Source organism: Homo sapiens, chromosome 18 (genome assembly GCF_000001405.40).
Source record: "Homo sapiens chromosome 18, GRCh38.p14 Primary Assembly".
Taxonomy (NCBI): domain Eukaryota; kingdom Metazoa; phylum Chordata; class Mammalia; order Primates; family Hominidae; genus Homo; species Homo sapiens.
The window spans coordinates 51429131-51451430 of NC_000018.10; the positions used below are offsets into that span (position 1 = coordinate 51429131).

General features: G+C 39.8%; 1 long non-coding RNA gene and 1 pseudogene across 2 annotated transcripts in view, besides 2 other annotated features; both read left to right on the forward strand.

Annotated features, from left to right (window-relative positions):
- The window catches only part of LINC01630 (long intergenic non-protein coding RNA 1630), a 170428-nt gene that overhangs the window by 37089 nt on the left and 111039 nt on the right, over window positions 1-22300 (forward strand). The gene's annotated exons all lie outside the window — the stretch shown is intronic.
- Window positions 4113-5809, forward strand: LOC100420949 (neuroepithelial cell transforming 1 pseudogene; annotated as a pseudogene).
- Window positions 18143-18192: an enhancer, noted in NCBI's record as "active region_13332". NCBI's record gives its function as "activates an Ori minimal core promoter by ATAC-STARR-seq in GM12878 lymphoblastoid cells {active_cell/tissue: GM12878}" and the evidence as "EXISTENCE:reporter gene assay evidence [ECO:0000049][PMID:35858748]".
- Window positions 18323-18382: an enhancer, noted in NCBI's record as "active region_13333". NCBI's record gives its function as "activates an Ori minimal core promoter by ATAC-STARR-seq in GM12878 lymphoblastoid cells {active_cell/tissue: GM12878}" and the evidence as "EXISTENCE:reporter gene assay evidence [ECO:0000049][PMID:35858748]".

Below are 22300 nucleotides of genomic sequence, written 5' to 3' on the forward strand. Positions count from 1 at the left end.
ACTACTTAGGCCAAAAACCTTGGCATTACCCCAACTCTTCTCTTTCTGTCACATCTCATACCCAGTTCAACAACAAACCCTGTTGGTTCTACCAGGAAAAGATTTCCAAGGTGTGTGCCCACCTCTCACGACTTTCATCTTTACCCCCCTCACCCAAACTACTACTATCTAGCATCTGGATTTTTGCTGTATATCTAGACAAAAATCTAACTTGCTCTTGCTTCCACCCTAACCCTTATGTGGTAAATGATTAACTCAGCAGGTTTTAGTTGTCCAAACCTTGTACATTTCAAAGAAAGTTTGGCCCTTACCTGGCTACTGGGAAATAACTTGTAAGGCTTTGGAATATTCTGACTGTTAAGAGTGCCTTTGTTTACCTGACGTCTTAGGCCACTCTAGATAGTTTACGCTAATAATGTGATTAATGGCGAGGGCCTTGGGTAATAAAATTTAGGCAATAAAACCAGTAATAAAACTGGTATCAACTTTATTTCTGGAGGAATTGAGACTGAGTATGATGGTTAATTTTATGTGTCAACTTGGTGAGCCCACAGAGCTCAGATACTTGCTGGAACATTATTCTGGGTGTTTCTGTCAAGATCTTTTTTAGATGAGATTAACATATAACTTAGTAGACTTTGAGTAAAGCAGATTAACCTCCATAATGTGTGGGTGGGCCTTATCTAATCAGTTGAAGGTCATAAGAGAACAGACTGACCCTCCCTGATGAGGAAGGAATTCTGTGTGTGTTTGTGTGTGTGTGTGTGTGTGTGTGTGTGAAGTCTATGGTAAAGCAAAGAAAGAATTATGTCAGCAGATTGTTTTTGAACTAACTCTTCACTAATTCTCCAGCCTGTTGGGCTACTCCATCAGATTTTGGACTTGCCAAGCCTCAATTGCATGAGCTTATTCCTTAAAAAAAAAAATCTTTCTGTATATACATCTTGTTGTCCTGTTTCTTTGGAGAACCCTGACTAATATACTGAGTAATTAAGATCAACCGCATGGGTGATTGGTCATGCCGACGTGACCAACCCCCATTAAAGAACCTGGACATCAAGGCTTGGGTTAGCTTCTGTGATGGCTGATGCCTTGTGAGTATTGCTCAGTTCACACAACATTGCAGGTAGAATTAAACACTGTCTATCTGATTCCACAAGGAAGGGATAAACGGCAGCTTGCACCTTTTTCTTCTGGACCATATCCTGTGTGCCTCTTTCCGTTGTGGATTTTAATCTGTGCCATTTTGCTGGAATAAACCACAATAGTGAGTCTAATAGCTTTGCCGTGTTCTGAGTTATTTGTAGCAGATCACTGAATCTGAGGGTGGTCTTGAAGGATCCCCCTGAATGCAACCCCAACCATGTATTTTCCTCATAATAAGCTTTTAAAATACAAAGTAGATTATATCCTTTCTCTGCCCCTAACTTTTAATAGTTCTCTGTTTTTCTCACAGTGAAAGCCAAAGTCCACAGGATCTCCCCCTCCTGACTTCTTCTCTGACCTCAACTCTTACTTCCTCATCACTCACTCAGCTCCCACTTCATGGGCTCTTTGCTGATTTCCTTGAACTCTCCAACCTCAGGACTTTGTATATACTTGCATTTAGTGTTTCCTCTTCCTGAAGGCTTTTTACACAAATACCTATGTGACTCACTCACTCACTTCCTTTAGACCTTTGATCAATCAGTTAGACCTAACTGAAAGGTCTTCCTTGACTACTGCATATAAAATAGCATTCTACGCCCCATGATTTCCTATTTCCTTTTATTATTTTTTATAGCACTTTTGACATCTTAACAAATTTTACATTTATATGATTATGTGTTCCTTATCTATTATCCTCCACTAGAAAATAAGTTTCATGAGATCAGGGACTTTGCCTATTTTATTAACTTCCGTATCCCCTATCTCTTGTACTTAGAACAGTGCGTGGCACGTAGTAGATGCTTAATAAATGTTAGTAGAATAAATGAACAAATGAGTGAGTAACTTCAAAATGAACACAAAGTGAGGATGAAGATTGATCTTACTCTTTCAATTCTCTCTGCACTCCTTGCCCTCTGTATCGCTATGTTATTTGCCATTAAGGCCTCTTATTTCTTCCTTTGAAACTATTTCAGATGAAACTTGTCCTCCATTCACTTGCCATTCATACGTTTTGGTTTTTCCTTTTATAAAATAAAACTTTTTATTGTGGTATAATACACATAACATAAAATTGACCATTTTAACCATTCCAAGTGTACAATTTGGTGGCATTAAGTACATTCACAAGGTTGTGCAATCATTTCCACTATCAATTTCCCGAACTTTTTCATCATCCCAAATGGGAACGCTGTACCCATTGAACAATAACTTCCCATTTCCTCTTTCCCCTGCCCTGGGTAAGCTCTATTCTACAGTATGTCTCTATGAATTTGCCTATTTTAGGTAACCTCATATAAGTGGAATCATATAATATTTGTTCTTTTGTGACTGACTGGCTTGTTTCACTTAGCAAATGTCTCCAAGGTCACCCGTGTTGTAACATGGATCAGAATTTTCTTCTTTTTAATGGTTGAATAACATTCCATTGTATGTATATACCACATTAAAAAAATCAATTCATCTGTTGATGGACATGGGTTATTTCCACCTTTTGGCTATTGAGATTAATGGTCTGAATATTGGTGTGCAGGAATATGTTTGAGTCTCTCTTCTCAATTCCCTTGGGTATATACCTAGGAGTAGAATTGCTGAATCATATGGTAATTCTATGTTTAACCTTTGAGGAACCATCAAACTATGTTTCACAGCAACTGTACCGTCTTACATTCCCATTGACAATACATGAAGATCCTGATTTCTTCATATCTCCACCAACACTTTTTTTCCTTTTTAAAAAAGTAATATCCTTCATGATGGGTGTGAAATGATATCTCATTATGATTCACAGTCTTTTACCTCATCACCTTGCACCTGGATTGATGAAAGAGTCTCCTTGGGAATATACCTGCCCTCCATGTTTCCCTTCCTGCTGCATTTGACCACTGTTGCTCATGCATCTTTGTAAAACACCATCCTGATGTAGATTTGGGCAATATTTTTATAAAGATGATGGAAACAATGAGGCTGCTGCGGATGTGTGAGGGTTAATCTTAGGTGTCAATTTGATTGGATTGAAGGATGCCTAGATAGCTGGTTAATTACTGTTTCTGGGTGTGTCTGTGAGGGTATTGTAGAGGAGATTGACATTTGAGTCAGTGGACTGGGAGAGGAAGACTCACCCTCGATGTCGGTGGGCACCTTCCAATCGAATGGCAGCAGGTAAAAGAAGGTGGGATAAGCTGGCTAGTCGAATCTTCTGGTTTTCATCTTTCGTCTATGATGGGTGCTTCCATGTGTTCCTCCTGTCCTTGGACACCTGACTCCAGGTTCCTCGGCCTTTGGACTCTTGGACTTGCACCAGTGGTTTGCTGGGGGCTCTCGGGCCTTTGGCCACAGACTGAAGGCTGCACTGTTGGCTTCCCTATTTTTGAGGCTTTTGGACTTGGATTGTGTTACAACTGGCTTCTTTCTCAGCTTGGAGACAGCCAATTGTAGGACTTTGTCTTGTGATTGTGTGAGCAAATTTTCTCTCATAAACTTCCTTTCCTATATGTGTATATCCTATTAGTTCTGTCCTTCTGGAGAACCCTAATATAGAATGTACAGAGAAGAAAAGGAAAAGGAAAGAATATGAAGGCAGATTATTCTGGAATATTTTTAAAGGACAAGGTGGGGGTCAGGATACAAGACACTTACAAGGGTCTCCTAATAGCCCAGGGAAGAGAGAATTTTGAGAAAGAAGTGATCAGCATTGCTCTGAAATTACAGAGAGTCAGGTGTTTTGAAGAGGGATCGCTGGATTTTGACAATTAAGAGTAAGCAATTCATAACTTTTGAGACACAGTTTATGTTTACTGGAGGAGGTAGGGTAGAATAAAATATCATTGAATTGACAAAAGAATAATGGGATTATTATTATTATTATTATTATTATTATTTTCCAGATGATTATCAGCAAAGGAAAGTGGGACAGTAGAAGAGCTGTGGGGAGGGGTTTTTTAAAGATGGGAAATCAAGGCTAGCAGCCCAGCCACAGAGGCAGAGCCTCCAGGTCTCTGGGCTTAGTACTTCTGGTGCCACTTAGACTTCTGCCAACACCCCAATCCAGGGCCAGATCCTGACAAGCGATATTCCTTTCTATCTTAGAGAGGTAGCTCCTTTCCATTTTTGAAAACCTGCACTCCACTGAGCCTTCACTTTGAAAAGGAATTGAAGGGAGAAAGATTGCAATGTCGTAAGCCTTAGCAGCCCTGACTTTAAGCTCCAGTCATATCCTTGGCATCTTAATCTCTCCTGTGAGAAATGGAGCTTTAGTGTAAAAATATATTTACGCTTCATGGTGACAACACATCCGAGACTTGTGCTCAGAGGTCATTTAGCAGATCAATGGTCCCAACACCAACTAAAAGAAGATATTGTGGTTAATGATATTAGATGGTATGTGAAGGAGTCATTACTGGAGAAACATCAGTGTAGGGCTATATGTGAAATGTCCCGAAGGGAACAGGATTTAATGGAGGATCTCAAGGTTGCAAGAAAGGCATACCATGAGCTCATACTACAGTTGTCTCTTGTTTCATGGGGGGCACTCATGCTTATATTTGGTGACTTGAATGCTTACATATCTCTGCATGAAGATTTGTTGGCAAGAATAGGAGAAACAACCAAACCTGATGAAATAGTGGAACAGACTGGGCCCATTCTCATGAACTGGTTGCCAAGCTTAAATACCTGTAAAGACTATCGTCATAACCAGCTGGTGGCCAAGGCACTTCTTTCCAAAAAAACAAGATTCAAGAATGCAAGACTTCTTGAGCAATGTCTTGAGTCTCCTTTCAGTCAAAAATTAGATCTTTAGAATTTCCTAGATATTCCTTAAAGTTGCCTCATCAAATAATCTTTAGTGTGATAAGGCATTTTTAGACATTCTCCAAAAGATCACCCTGAGGTTGAGCATCTAGAGAACGTTGTATTGATAACACAGGGAATTCCCTCCGATATTAACTAGAAGAAAGGCCAATTAGAGTGCCAGTATTTTACTGACAAACTGGAGTAACTGGATGAAAAAGTGAAAGGATCGTAGAATTGAAACAAGCAAAGTATTGCTCTGCCATGGGAACTTGAAAAATAAGACAGACATAAACTTTACATTTCTCTGTTTCAAGACTTCTTGGTTTTGACTTGACCTGGTAACAAGAAACACAAAAGGAGAATTACTTTTATCCGTTTTGCTAGCAACCAACCCTAGTCTAAGAGCTAGTCTTTGAAGACCTGAAGGATGGAGATGTGAGAATGAGAAAGTCCTTTTGAAGATGTTTCTGTAATTCAGATAAAGCTAAAAATATCTTTGTAGTTTGCTTCCAAGACCCTTCTTTGGGCCAGTCTCACACTCCATAAGTCTAAGATGTGTTTCATAAGCAGCAGTGGTTCCATTGTACTTAAGTCACTATTGCTCCTTTCCAGTCTAACTAAGTTTGAGGATTAGCCAGAGCTCCAAAAAGAGTGGGAAAAGAACAATCCCTTGGTCTGGATCATCAAAGACTGGAGGAAGGCTTCCACAGTTTTTGGTGTTATTCAAATAGAAGTTAAAAAAAAAACTTCATAATATGGTTCCCCTGCACAAATAGCAGAACACACCAAAAGCGTAAAAACACTCAGAACGCAATCTGGGTTCCAAAAAGCAAGGGACAAAGCCTAGTTAAGTGGCAAATGCAAACGGATTTTGGGATAAGGAGAGTTCTGTGTATTTACTGGTAAACAGACTATTTATAAATGAGTATAAGGGTTTTTCTTTTCTTGAAATGTAAGCATGAGAGAATTATAAGCTTACTTCATATCAGCTTTAATATTTTCTATGTTTTTTGTTGTTGTTTCAAATGGCAGCTAAAGGTATACATATACAGACTACATTATATAAATGGTGTTAATTTTTTTTTTTTTTTTTTTTTTTTTTTTTTGTGGAGAACAGATCTCACTGTATTGCCCAGGCTGGTCTCGAATTTGTGGGCTCAAGTGATCCTCCCACCTTGGCCTCCCAAAGTATTGGGATTACAGGCATGAGCCACTGGGTCTATGGTCTTATTTTTAAAAGACTTTAATTTTTTTTAGTTCATTTAGAACATCCAACTCTGGCATTTTTAATCAAATGAAATATTTATGAAGTGGATTTTCATTTAATTCTGAATTCATCATGACTTTATAGTATCAACTAATTATGGTATTTATAATATTTGCCAACACATAGAATTTTGTAAACACTAGGCTTTTACAGTGTTTCTTCAATAAACTTAGCATGCAAAATTGGAAGTTTTAACATTGACACCTAATTCTACATGACATATATGTTTGCAGTATTTAAAAATTCACACTGAGGCTGGGCACAGTGCCTCACCCTGTAATCCCAGCACTTTGGGAGGCCAAGATGGGTGGATCACGAGGTCAAGAGATCAAGAACACCTTGGCCAACATGGTGAAACCCTGATTCTATTTAAAATACAAAAAATTAGCCAGGCATGGTGGTGCATGCCTGTAGTCCCAGCTACTTGGAAGGCTGAAGCAGGAGGATCACTTGAACCCAGGAGGCGGAGGTTGCTGTGAGCTGAGATCGCACCACTGCACTCCAACCTGACAACAGAGTGAAACTGCATCTCAAAAAAAAAAAAAAAGAAAAAAAAATTCACACTGAAACATACATTCTTTGGAAAACAGACCATAAAACTTCATAGGCTTTTAATTTCACCAACTGAAATCTTTACCTTGGTTTTTATTTTTCACTGCACATGCCTCATTTTTTCATCCATTTAACCTGCCAATTATTGTTTTGTTTACTACAAACTAGATTTGATATTTGGCTTTATTTTGTTTTTTACTTTGCAGCCTTTTCAAATCGGCATATCTTAAAGATATTTTTCTTTCTTGATTAAAAATGCGTGTGTGTTTAATTATTTCAGCATAACCAAATGAAACTAAGCCATACTATTTTTCAGCCAATTAAGAAAATTGCAGTTTTAAAATACAACATTTTGGGGTGATGAATACATGTGAAATGACTTATTATACTCTACTGAAAATCTGCTGTAAGACATTCACTGGAAATTTTAGCTTTATCTGAAAAGCAAGAGGGAAGACAAATTGACTGATAATAAATTTAATAATGGGGAATGAGGGCGGGTTTGTCTTAAAGCAAAAAATGTCTGGTTATACCATCATGTGAAAATATAGTAAAAGCTAAATCAGAGGTGTAGAGTCATTGTAGAACACCTGAGGGGAAGTTAACTTTATTTCCCTGAAAATAATGTTTGAAAAGAAATAATAAAATGTATTAAAAATTTGACAATATTTAGTTAATTTCAATGGATTTATTCATAAGATGGAGAAAAGGCTGATGATGTAAAATGTTACATGGGTGACATATAGAAAGAGTAAACTTATAACTTAATTTTCTTTGTTAATATAACAGTGAGATCATATCCTTTAAAAAGGGACTATGGGGTGGACCAGAAGTCCCTTGCCCTGGCTGCGCTATAATAGTGAAAAATCCAAGTATATGTTGAATATTTTGTAAAATATGTTTGCCCAGTGGAAATGAAAATTAGAAAAGATGGTAAATAGATCAATCCAAATAAATTCTCTGTATCAGTGAATGATACAGTTAAGCAAGCCAGCAAACAAACAAACAAAAAACACATGTAGAAGAAACCCAGATGAACTCAGATTTCATGTGTTGATGGAAGAACCAAGAGAATGAAAGGGAGTGGAAGGGTAAAGATGGGGAGAGAAACTAGGGTGTCCCCTGAGGCTCCTTCCTCTGAGCACAGAGAGATGGAGATGGTAGACACACACTGGGAATTCCGGAGAGGAGAGAATTCAGGGACTTCTGTTAATAACCTTGGTCTTGGGCATGCTGGAGGAGGCAAGGTCACTCATTGTCTTACTGAGCTGAAAGGAGAACTTACACTGGAGTTTTGAGCTGGGAAAAGGTTTGTGTGAGTGCAATGAGTGTGGCCAGAGCCAATGAGAAGCAATGTGAATATGGTTCAGGTGTTTCTCAAAAAGTGACGGAGAAGAAGGGAGGACACAGGGTCGTTGATCTGGATGGAGGAGTGAGCATTGGACTTGTTTTGACCTTTAAAAAGTGCAGGGCTTAAGTGGTGGGGGCTGTCTGGAACCCTTTCCCTCCCGTACACTCAGCACGTTGTTTGCTTCTGACACCTCCCATTGTACACACTTGGGAGGCTGGCTACACTCACAAGGAGCGGCACATCCATCAGCAAATCGGGCTCTGACATTATTTCAGCTTCCTGCCTTTCTCCCCCAATCCACTTCATCCTGTTAAAAGCACCTTCTTGAGACACAGTTGACATAATTTTGGCTTTAATATTCTCTCTTGTGAATTTACTCTGTAATCTTGGAAGCAAAACATAGAAGGAAAGAAGAAAGAAAAAGAAATCTCCAAACCCATACTCCTTATCAAAAAATTTCGGGGTTATTACCACACAAGCTTGCGGCAGTTTCTGTTATCTAGCGGAGGATGGGGAGTTCCAGGGAGACAGGGGAAGGGGAGGGAGAGCTAAGAGATAAGGTGGTTTGTCTAACCCCCAATTTCCTTTTCCTGATGACTTCTAAGTAGTCATTTTCTCACAAAGTCACTGTGTCCCGAGGCTACTTTTACACATCTTGTCCTCATCACTCTTCCCTGTAGCACTTTCCCTTAACTGAGGAAAGTTCTTTGGGCTCCAGGCTACAACTTCCACCTCAATTAATGGAGTAACTATTTTGTTTGGTCCGTGGTTTGATTACATTTATTGGGAGGTGACTATGAGCAGGCACTGAGCCAAGTGCTGTGAGCAATACAGAGATGAACAAGAAGTCACAATGAGCTGAGAGAGGCACAGTCTGGCAGAATGTGGCAGGCGGGGCAGGGGAGGGACCACAGCTTTGTGCAATGGCGAAGAGACTGCTTCCAATTGGGAGGGCATGGAGATGTTTCATGATGAGAGCGACTTTACCTATTTATTTTTAAAATTTTATTTGTATTTTTAATTTTTGTAGGTACATAGTAGTTGTATATATTTATGGAGCACATTAGATGTTTTGATATGGGCATGCAGTGTGAAATACGCACATCGTGGAGAATGGAATATCCATCTTCTCAAGCATCCATCCTTTGAGTTACAAACAACGCAATTAGACTTTTTATTTTAAATTGTTCAATTAAGTTATTATTGATGACAGTTACCCTGTTGTGCTTTCAAATAGTAGGTCTTATTTATTCTTTCTAACTACTATTTTGTACCCATGAGAGCGACTTTAGTACTGGGTTTGCCAGATGTAAGGAATAAGGTTGTTTTGGCCGGATGTTAGGGAGAAAGAGGCACAGCCTTCGTGGTGGAGGAAATGAGGTGAGCAGAGACACAGAGGCAGGAGAGGGCAGGAGGCCAGGGATGGTCTGGGTTGGAGTAAACACTGGGTGAGGAGGGAAGTGGTAAGCCAGCCTTGCTTACTTTGCTTGGGAGTTTGGATTTTCTTCTATGAGCACTTCAAAGTCTTCATTGCCTGTACTTCATTGCAAAGGCTTTCTTGTTTATCTGCCTATTTGTAGTTAAATCTGTGTCTCTCAGTTTCATCTGTTAAGAGGGAAAACCTGGAGTTCCTTTGGCTGCTGAGATGCCCTTTTTGAATCCCTTGCTTTCTGCTAACCCTTTTTATCTAGGTCCCACTGTTTTGCTTGGCTTTTCTTGATTGCCTTCTAGTGCTATCTACACACAGCAGTTTCATTTGCTTTGATGCTTTTGAGAGTTCAGGACCACAGTTTTGCCAATTTTAACTTTCAATACATTTTCTCACCTTTTTCATGACTGTCTTTGAAAAGAAAAAAACATATACATGCAATTAGCAATAGATGGCATCCTGAATATTGTTTATTGCATCATAGCTAAGATGAAAACATTAAGGAACACAGCAACATCTCATTCCCTGAGAAGAGTTTGGTCCTAAAACCACTCAAAACAAAAGCTGACAGATGAGAAAATGAAAGGAAGATCTTTATCTATGTTATTTTTGCTTAGCAAGCTCAATAATGACAAGTTTAGAGGGTTCCAGTATGACACTTAGCAGGTGCTCAGTTAAATACTGATTGTTAGTTCTGCTCCCAGTGAGGAATTCCTGGTAAGGTGGGAGACACTAGGAGATTTTTATCTCATGCTTGGTTCAAGGTAGTTTTCATTTTTCATTTCGTCCCAAGATTCCATGGTGCTGTATTGTATTATTTTTAATTTAAAAAGAGCAAGCAATCTAAATGTTTAATCAAAGGGAACAGTTTGGTAAATATGGCATATCTACTTGTGGGACGCCCATGACATTATTATAAATAATTACTAAGATCATTATGAAAAAATATTGTAATGGTAATGGGAGGAAAGCAGAATGTAAAATTACATATCAACTGATATTCTAAACACTTTAACAATTGTGTGCCTGTTGCACAAATTCTCAGAGATGGAGTACAGAGATTTGAGCCAATGACTGGTGAAAGGCAGGCCTCCCTGCCCTCAAGAGGGGCTGATCAAATGCAAGACTGCAACCTGCCAGTGCTTACAGCCTCAATATGAAGCCATGAGCCACACGTGTTTCTGAATATAAGTTAATTTTTCAAAAGAAAGAGATCCACTTCAGGTAAATAGTGTTGTTTACCTGCTATCCAAATATCAAAAAGCAAAAACAAAAACAAAAAACACAAAAAAAACAAATTTGCTTCTTAGCCACTGCCTTCTCCTCCATTTTCTTGTCTCTTCTAATCAAATGCTTTCCTTGGGTCGTTTCCTCTAAATTTGATACACAGATGCTTTCACCATCAAATTAGTATTGTTTGTGCACCTCTAAGAAAATTCAAACTCTGATTAGGTGCACTACTGCCTAATTATATCTGTCTGTGCCTGGTTGTATAAACGTGTCCACATTAGGACTTGTGGCTGCCTCTTTCTCAGAGTGTCTGGGAATGGAATCAGAAGAACTATTGCTGGGCTCTCACAGATGCAGAGTCTGGAAGATAGCTCAGGTAAATGAGCAGGTGATGGCGTATGGGGGAGGAGGGCCCTTGGCATATTATGCGATGATCCAGAAATGAAATACGGCTGGTTAAAAAAAGGAAAGAACAGGCTGCCAGTTTCTGAAGTTTTGAGAACCCTGCTCTTAAATGGGCACAGGGGTTATTAGTAGAGGTTTTTAAGAGTAAAACTAGAAGTTTCATTGGAAAAAAGGAAGTCATTTTAGCTTTCCTTTTCTCTGGTGCTTAATCTTGCTTTGTTCTCTCTTCTCTCTCCCCTCCTGCCCTTTCCTGCCATCATACTTAGGGGCTGTGATTTCTCGATGATACCTCTCATTGGGCTCTTGAAAGTGCAGTGCAGATATACGGTTTGCCCAGCCTACCTCCTCTATTGTAATAGCACAGTTTAGAACAAGTAAGAAAAAGTAAAAACCAACAGCCACCTCAAATCTCCTTCATTTCTGCTTCTGCAGTAGTGGAGTTGAGACATCATCTATTGGAGATGGAGATGTCCAGCCTGAGAAATTATTAAAAATCTGCTTAAATTAGCTAATCTTTTTCCTTCCTGCTCTCCCCTTCATGTACACCTCTCTGCTGACATCTGACTGGTGTGCCTCAATGTATGTGCACCAGCAGACATGCCTTGGAATTATTGATCATCTGTCGTGGGGGTCTCTGAGCAGAAGTATGTAGTTGAGGGTTGGCTAACTCCTTGTCTTCCTTTCTTCCTGATACCTCACCTCCTAATTTGGGAGCCATGTTAGTCTGTTTTTGCATTGCTATAAAGAAATACTTAAGACTGAGTAATTTATAAAGAAAAGAGGTTTAATCGGCTCATGGTTCTGCAGGCTGTACAGGAAGCATGATGCCGGCCTCTGTTTGGCTTCTGAGGAGGTCTCAGGTAAGTTACAATCATGGCAGAAGGCAAAGTGGGAGCAGGCACATCACATGGCCAGAGCAGGAGCAAGAGAGAGAGAGAGAGGGGAGGTGCCATGCACTTTAAAATGACTGGATCTTATGAGAACTTACACACTATCACGATGACAGCACCAAGAAGATAGTGCTAAATGATTCGTGAGAAATCTCCCCCATGATCCAATTCCCTCCCACCTGGCCCCACCTCCAACACTGGGGATTACATTTCAGCATGAGATTTGGGCAAGGACACAGATCCAAACTATGTCAGGAGCGCAGGGTACCACACAAAATGCCAGAACTGAATGGAGGCCACAGATTCTCTGGTTTACCCTGCACCTTCTAGATGAACAAACAGATGCCCAAGAGCATTGCTCAAGATCACATATGTGTAAGTGGCAGCTAGGGGACAAGATCTCAGATTACTTCTATCTCAATCTGATGGCCTTTTCATGATGTAATTGTGTTTACTTGAGTTACTTTCTTTTCTAGATGCTATGCAGGCAAAGCCTAGGTTTCCCTCATAACTTTGTCCAAATGCCATCTTTTTCAGGAAGTTTTTATAGATGGACCCAGACACAAGAGAATTTTGCAATCACCCTTAGCACTTTTTAAAACTGTGCAAAGCTTTTGTAGTCTACAGTATTGCCATCAATTAGGGTTAATTACGTACATGTTTTACCCTCTCTAATGGACTATAAGAGCTGCTTGAAGGCAGCAATTTTGCCTTTTTAATTTTTGTTAGTCTCATAATGCCTGGCACAGTGCTTGGCATCAGTGGATACTCAATAAGGTATGCTGAACAAATGAATGAGAGAGTGGATGAAAGAACAATGAACCCATTGGAATGATGCCTTTGTTCCTTCCTGGAGTGGGGCTGCTGTGAATCAAAATGTGATGAATCTCTGGGGATTAGGAGCTTTGTGAGTTATGGGGAAGTCTTTTTGCCTCTCTTGGCTGAATGAGCAGTGATAACATTAAAACTGCATCCTTGGAGGAGCTAGCAGTGATTTAGGGAGTACATTCATATGGGTTCTTCATAAATAAATCAACTAAATTGCTGCCACTAGCCAGTCAGGCAGGACTGCCCCTAAACAGAACAGGTTTCTGGTGTTTACCTGGCCAGGATGCTGACTGCTACTGAAAATAGCTCAGCATTAGTGTCTGCTGCACAGCTTAAAGGTTCTTGCTGTCTCAGTTGCCTCTTTGGGGACTTTTCCCACCTAATTAGGAGAGGGTAGAAGTAGCTCATCATTTAGTCACTGTGGTTATAGCAACTGGGATGGTTGCTCCAACTTCGGGCATTCCCTAGAAGGTGGCTATATTTTTTTTTTTTGCCTGGATGTCTTCACTTGCTCAGTTTCCTTATGGGGGACTCAGGGGTTACAGAGCTCAAAAACCATGTCTCAAAAAAGGACTGCGGGAAACTCTGTTGATAAGAAAAAACTCTCTTTGAATTCTGGTATATCTCAAAGAATAATTGGGTTTTGGAAATGATAAAGTAACTCCATGCCTCCTCCTCCCCATTAAAATGTTGTTGCTTCATTATCTGAATCCCAAAGGCTAGGACCTCTGGATTTCCAAGATAGCAGTTCACTGAGTTGAAATGCTGATGTATATTTCTCAGCTAATAAGATGACTAGTGAAGATTCTCCAAGTTTCTTCCTTCCCTCACAAGTCATTCAACAACAAATATTTGTTGAGTACCTAATGTGTGTCAGGAACTATGACAGACCCTGGGGATAAAAATACCAAATAGTCTTCACTTTCAAGGATTTTATAATCTGAAAGGGGTGGCAGATCTACACAACGACAAGAGTATAACGAGACCTGCCTTGTAATAGGTACTGGGAAAGGGCTCTGGGGATAGAGATGGGAGAGAAACATGTTGGCTTGGGAAAGGTTAAAGTGGGCTGTAAGGAATAACTAGGGTTTCACCAAAGAGGGAGGAGGGTTATTCCAGACAGAGGCAGCAGTGTGAAGAAAGGGTGTGAGAGGGAGTTTAGGGCATCAGGACTGGTTATTCGGGTGTCCATTCACCCACAGATAATGACTTAGTCCACATAGCACGATCTGAGTTGACCACTGTGGCACCTATGTGCATACAAAGCTGCCTCAGGACAGGTCTCTGTCCTGCAGGAGTTTAAAGTTCAAATGGAGGGTGGAATTCATGGCGAGAGAGTTGGAAAATGAAGCTGAGAAGTTGGGCTGATTCCACCTTGTGAGATGTTCTGGCGCTGGATAAAGAGCTTGAACTTTGGCCAGCAATGCCTCTGCTTACAGCGTCTAAACCACAGACCAGTCCATTGATGAAGGACATATAAGGGCGGTTCCTAGTTTTTGCTTTAACAAACACTATTGCAACGAATAACTGTACATTCATGCATGCATGGGAGAGCATACCTGTAGGATCAACTCCTTAAATGGAATCACTGAATCAAAGGGTATGCATTTGTAATTTTGGTAAATATTGTCAAATTCCCTTCCTTAGAGGTCATGTCCATGATCACTCCTAGCAGCAGAATATGAGATGAGCTACCTTTCTGACTCTTCGCGTGCGCGTGCACACACACACACACACAGTGTAACAAGGACAGTTTTTCATTCTACTTCACACCAGTTGTCACCCTTCCTTGATGGGGCACAGATGGCCAAGCTTTAGCTCTCCCTAAGGTACAAAGACACAAGTTTGAGATGGATGAAGTCTTGTCCTGGACGGGTCCATGAATATCCCTTATGTTCTACCTAAGTTTAGATTTCTGTCCCATGGGGACCCACAGTGAAGCACTGTGAGAAGTAGTCGGCCTCCAGGCTGTCAGATTCAAAGATTGGGAGTGCCCCCATACTAAATGGAACTCTTAATTACTCAGAGAGAATGCGTCATTAATGAATGGTTTTACACTTTACCTGCCTTTTTTTTTTTTTCTCATAATTTTGGCTTGTGTCCCTTTCTGGGGAAATAATTGCTCTAAGTCTTATTTGTTCTAAAATTTTAATCTTAGAATGTATTGGTCTCTTTAATCAGTCTACCACATAAATAATTCTTTATAAATATTTGTTATTTTTGTGAGCTAATAAAAAAACTAATGGCATATGATTATTTGGACACGTTGTAAGAACTTCAAATATAAATCTATGTTTTGCAGGCCAGCACACACTGCTAAGTGGAAGAAGAAGGCAGAAAGTTTTGATTTACAGGCACAAATCCCATGCATATGAAATAAAAGACAACTGAAGTTTTGCTCAGCCATCTCAACCATCAGCTCCATTCATCTTCTAACTATGTGATGATATACACTAAACACAGATGGCCAATATTAAGTATGAAACTACCTGACAAAGGAAGCTGATTCTAATTCAGAACACCATAATTCTGGATGTTGAAATCCGAAAAGATAAAAATCCTTAAAATTTAATTCTGGAAAAAAAATCTTTAAGAGATTTATTTACATTTAGAAAAGGGGGTTTATTTAAGAAACATAAAAACATGACAGGATATTTCACAGCCCACTTTACACAATTAATGAGGTGACACTATACATATTTTTGCAAGCATAAACACTCAAGTGTGTTAATGGCAGTTGCATGGGCATAATAGTTATAAGTAGATGAACTATATTAAAAAAGAAATAGGTCAAAAGGGAAATGTAGACATGCATATGACTATGGTTGGAATTGTGTGTACCCAGATTTATAACTGTGGTCATCTGAAATACCATGACAAACAACCTAAATTTTTTGACAAGATCGGTCAAAAACCTTGATGGGTTACCACAGAACATGCAGTCACCTAAAGAGCTGAAATCTTGTGAAATTTTATCTTTCACAAATGCAGATGTACAAAAAGGACATCTCTTAATTTATTGAGAAAGTTTCAGTGTTTTAAATTATGCGTAGTGCACAATGCTTACACACAAAGTCAACAGTGTGATAATGTGATAATTTCATGGAGTCAAATTTGTAAAAAATGCATTAAATGAATTCGAACTCTCTAAAAGCCTCTACACAACCTATACCTCCAGAGTTGGAAATGATGCAAAGATAGGATAGCGAATGGTAAAACATAATGCTGTCAATTTAAAAGAGCCTAGCCAACATGCTGAAACCCCAGCTCTACTAAAAAAATTACAAAATTAGTTGGGCATGGTGGCGCATGCCTGTAATCCCAGCTACTCAGGAGGCTGAGGCAGTAGAATCGTTTGAACCCAGGAGGCAGAGGTGGTGGTAAGCCAATATTGCACCATTGCACTCCAGCCTGGGCAATGAGAGTGAAACTCTATCTCAAAAACAAACAAACAAAACCAAAACTAAAAAAGAAAAAAAGAAAAAAACCCAAATGGAAAAAAAATCAATATATGAAAAAGTGTATTACAGGAATAGATTATGGGTAATTTCATCAAGATAGTCCATCATAAGAGCTGGCCAATTTTCATGATCGTTAACTATATTTTGAAGTCTTGCATCATAATGAATAGATGCTTTTTTCCTTTTAGACCATGGCTCTCATTGGAGAATATGTTCACATTCATTTTCTACACGATGTTGTTCTTTTTGAAATTCTCTTGTGATTTGACATACAACAACATGAACATTCCATATTAAAATTTCCCATCTTCTGTGCCATGCCTCGATGTTGTTTTGGGTGTGTGGAAATCCATTCCTCACGCACTCATATACATACCACACATTTGGCAGAAACAATACTGGTGTTTGAAGGGAACGCCATTATGTAAGTGCCTTCTTATCTTACCATGCACTTAATTATTTTTCAACCATTCATTAACTTTGCTGGCTTCTCCAGGCAAATGCAGCTTTAATTCATTAAAAGTTTTTGTAATGTCATCAGCTGGAAGAAATGCCAATGCAGGCAAATGGCAAATTTTTAAACTGAAGTTTCTGTTGTTGCTGTATGTCATGGCCAAGCCACTCATCTAAATTTTCTGTCAGATGCATTGGGCTGAATGAAAAAAACATCTTTATTGGTAACATCTTGAAATTCCCTTGAAATCTATTTTCTTCTGCAAAGTCCACCCGATCTGCAAATAAGCATTTGTAAGTGCTTCACTTTTCCCAGCCATTAAAACATAATTGAGTGGATAAATTTTAGAATCTTTTGCATGAATTGTATATAGATGATAAAAAAAAAATCAGTGGGGACAATTTTCAAAGTGCCATCCATTAGCCAAATTGAAGCATGAGCTAGTTTTTTTCATGTTATATTTAGTGGTAAATATAAGTAGTGTATCTTCTTCATTAGTCAAATCCCCAGTCAAGAATAGTTCGCTATTTAATGTGTTTTGGAACACTGGAGGAATCTCAATGTCACTGAGCTTGTCAAATTCTTTTTATTCTATGACAAAGGGCATTCTAGAAAGGCAAGCATGACACTTTGTGTCAAGGGGCAGAAGTTGTACATGACTCAATAATTTGGAGGGCAGACTTCTTGTATTTTTTGCCCATGTTTTCACTTCTTCTGTGATCAATTTGACACCTAAAATTAAGTCCACATGTTCACCCCTTGTCAACTTGTCACCCTAAAGCATGCGCATAGGTTGACAGGAAGAATCAAGACCAGAGATAGATGATGATTCAGGAGGGAGAAGCTATCACTGCAGGAGCACAGTTCTTGAGGAGGGGAGGGGTCCAGGCTGCAGGTGCAGTGCTGTGTTTTGGGAGGCTATTCTGGAAAGATAAAGAATGTGAATAATGTTCATGTTGAGTGATTCTAGGCATGAGAGTAAAAAGTACTTGAGGAAAGCAAAATCTATGGAACATACTCCTCTGGCAGAATTTTGGGAAACCCACACCCACACCCACACCTCCACACACAACCGAACACACAGCATAGAAATGCACAGTGCCTGGCACATGCCAGGTGCATAATGAATTTTTTAAATAAAAATGTGATCTTGCAAGTGGAAGTGAGCCACCTCCTAGTCAAAATATTACCAGGAAATCTGCTGTCTCAAGGCAGATGGGAATGGCTAAAGGAGGGAAGAGAGCAAAAGGAGAAGGAAAGAGGGTGTGGGGCAGGGAAAGAAAGAAGAGAGAAGGCAAGAAAAACAAAGAGGAGACCAAGGCCAGCAGTGGCAGAGAGAAGGGTGAGCGGCTGTGTCAGTGGTGGCCCCAGGCACCTGTGCTCTCAGCTGCTGACCCTGGGCAACTTTGTCCTTAACTAACAGCTAAGAATCTCTAGTCATGGGAAACTGCAGTAACAGCACAGGTGTGACCCAGCAGCCGCTCTGCTTGGCCTGGCTATAATTAGCATCCACTGGCAGCCTAGAAAACTACCTGCTCTTGAGGTCGGTGAGTTCAGAGCCTGTGAGTAAAAACAGGGGGGTGCAAAGAGCCGGTTAAAGCTCCAGCTGTGGTGAGTCAGTGCGAGGTTGCTTGGCCCCAGAGCACAGCCCTGCAGCCTGGTCACCCTGGGCACAGCCCTGGATCCTGGTCACCCTGAACACAGCCCTGGAGCCTGCGAGGCTCATGTGAGAATGAGGGTGGCCAGAATTCCTTGACTGTCACTTATCTGTCTGGGCAGACGTCCTTCATGGCTGGCTTTCTCTGGCTCCTGGGGCAGCTCCAGCCCGTGGGAGTTGCACTGTCTTGGCAGACAGGGAGACTGGCTTTGGCAACACACCGAGGGCAATGCTTTCCCAAGGATCTGTCTCCTTGGAGAGTCTTTCTAATGCCTTGGCGCATTTGTGTTCTCCCCTGGGTAGCCCGTCCCGGCTCAGTGCTCATTTCCCACATGGGGGCATTAAAAATAAATCTTTGCTGTGAAATAGGAAGAAAATTTTTCCCAGAGCTTCTCTTCTCTTCTTTGTGTGTGTGTGTATGTGTGTGTGTGTGTGTGTGTGTGTGGAGTTTGGAGTCTGAGAGGGGAAAGGTAGAACCCACGATCTCTTCTGGCACACTCCTGGAACACTGCGCTGTAGTAGTGAATACAAAATTATCTGCCTGCTGCTACTGCTCCCTTACAGGCTCGTTATCCCCCACTATCCGGTGGCGTTGGCTTCACCGTTCCATGCTCAGGCAGCAGCACTCCCATCCTGATGGGAGGGCATCCGGGCAGAGTCCCATCCCTCCACAGTGGCCACATTTGAAGGCAGCCGCTCCTCCCTCTCCACCTGTCTAATCCTAAGAAAGTTATTCCTTATACAGATCTTAATTTCCTTGCCACTCTGCATCTCTAATCCTGGTTTTCCTTTGGACATCCCATAGTTAGCTGACTTCCCCTCCAAATAAAAGCCCTTCCTTTATATTTGTGAGATAAATGATTATTTCCTGTTTTCCCTTTCTAGTCTGATCAGCCTCAATGATTTGACTGCTCATTATTTCCCCAAATATGTGTTTATTGCCAACTGAGAGGCTTCTACTGTGCTAGGTGCTGGGATGCACCTATTAATAAAATGTAGCCCTGGAAACTGGAGGCACCCACATTTTTGTTTAAAGAAACACTCATGGGAAGAATAGAAACATGCCAGATAACTAAAATACGATGTGATAAGAGGCATAACAGAGGTAAACTTTCTATTGCCTATTGAGGATTTATCACGTCGGGGGTGGAGGAGTGTGCTGTGTGCATTATCTCACTTAGAACCTACGACAACCTTGTGATGTAGGCATCATCATCAACTTGTAGATAAAGTCAGTTGATCTGCCCAGCTTCACAAGGCTGCCAACCCTACGTTGAAGGGCAGATTCAGGATTTCAAATCACTGAGATAAATGTAAAGTCCCACTCTCAAGGCCACACACCAAGAGCAAGGACGTGAACTCAGACCATCTCGCTGCAGAGCCTGCCTTTTGGACTACCCTGCCATCTTGCTTTCCTGGAAGGCTTTGGGAGCACTATGGCACCAGGATGAAGAGTATCCTCAGCAGGGCTACTGCCGCAGACTTGTACCAAAGAGATGCGTGCAGAGACTCCCCGCGCAGGAAGCTGGATGCTAGTGCTGACCTAGCTCTGACCTTGCTGTGGTTCTTGGCACTCCCAGACAATTCAGGCAATTCAGTTTCACATTACTGACACCTCTGCTGTTCTGAGTACATGCTTTCTTTCAAAATGCAAAAGCGAGGCCACTCCATGCACCTCTGACAATGGTCCATTCTTAGAAGAATCACCTGTCGAAGCCGTCCTGGGAGCTATTGAATTAATTTCTACCACTTGGAAGGCAGCAGTTGTCCTGGAGAGGAAGGGCACAGCTTTTCTCTATCATCTGGCAGCCTCCTTGGAGCTGTCTGGGGAGATGGGGATGTCCTGGATGCATGTGCCTGTTTTTATTTCATTGTGGATGGTGGTGTGATCAGTACTGAGTATGGCATGCAGGAATAATTACTATTATCACTACTATTTCAACATCAATTCTGCATCATCAATAGCATTGGGCATTGTCAGAGAGCAGAATTAGAATCAGGCTTTTTGCCCAATGGGATCTCAATTTAAACAGAAATTGCTCATGAACAGGAAGTTGCAATGGTGGTGCTGGGGAGTCGGGGCTAGGGGTTGGAAACAGGGAAATATAATTTGTATGTTTCTCTGTGTTTTGGAGGGGCAGATATCAACCTTTTGTTTCTCTCTCATGATTTGGATGATTTTTTTTTTAACAAAAGCCATGGCAATAATAATGATGTTACGTAGAATTTAAACTTCCCAGGCAACATTTTTGCCATTATCAATGATCTCAAAACTCTGGAGAAACCAATATTTATTAAAATTGAATTCACACCTGCAAGAGACTCAGGAAAATGCTGCGACGGTCTTGGGGAAGCCTGGAGTGATGGGAGTGAGTGACTTTGCTCCTCTAATGCTCCTTGTTTGCTTATTTCCTCCTGAGCAAGTATCTTGTTTCTGTGTGTCCTGATTCGTTGTCAGTAAAGACGCTTCTGTCTCACTCTCTTTCATGTCTCCTCTGTGTGAACTGCTGACCACCACCCAGTACCAGTTCTAGAGAAATCTTCCCAAATGAGCAATTTCATTCATGCTTTCTCCTTCCCAGAATTCTTGACCACTTCCCTATTGGGCTGTCACTTCAAAGCTAAACCCTTCAGCCAGGTCTCCCAAAATTTTGGAATCTGCTTCCCTCCCATTCCTTCAGGTTACTCTTTGGTTTCAGAAACTCTACTTTCTTGTTAGCCCACAAGCTCATCTTGCAACCTTTTGCTCTGGGGCTCTGGTCATGTTTCTTCCCTTGGCTGCCATGACCACCCTTCCCTTCCATGTATGTAACACCACCCGCTGTCCTGCATGGCCATTCTCTCCTGCTTCTGAGGCCTTTCCTGGGGGTGTCCTTCCAATGACCCTGCCTCCTGTGAACATCTCTGGTACTGATGGTCTTATGGGTGTATGTCCCCCCAAATTTGTATGTTAAAGCCCTTTATTAGTCAGGATTCTCCAAAGAAACAGAACCAATTGTGTGTGTGTATGATATACATATATGATATACATATATAAAATATATACACACATACATGTATAATATATACATATAACACATATACAATATATACATACATGTACATATTATATATGTATATATTGTATATATGTATATATAATACATACATATATGTGTATATTGTATATATACACATATATGTATATATAATATATACAGTATATACACATATGTATATATAATATATACAGTATATACATATATGTACATATATATTATATATAATATATACCTATATATGTACATATATGTATATATTATATACATGTATATTATATGTAATACATGTAATATATATAATATATACCTGTATACAATATATACATATGTCTATATTATGTAAGTATATTATATATGTATATGTAAATATGTATATATAATATATACATATATGTATATATGTATATGTAAATATGTGTATATAATATATACATATATGTATATGTGTATATGTATACATTGTATATATTATATATGTATATTATATATACATATATACATACATATTATATATGTATATATATTATATATGTATATATGTATATATTATATATAATACATGTACATATTATATATAATACATGTATATATAATACATGTACATATTTTATATATAATACATGTATATATATAATACATGTACATATTATATATAATACATGTACATATTATATATAATGTATTATATATGTACGTGCATTATATATAATATGAACATGTATTATATAGAATATGAACGTGTATTATATATGTACATGTATTATATATAATATGCACATGTATTATATATAATA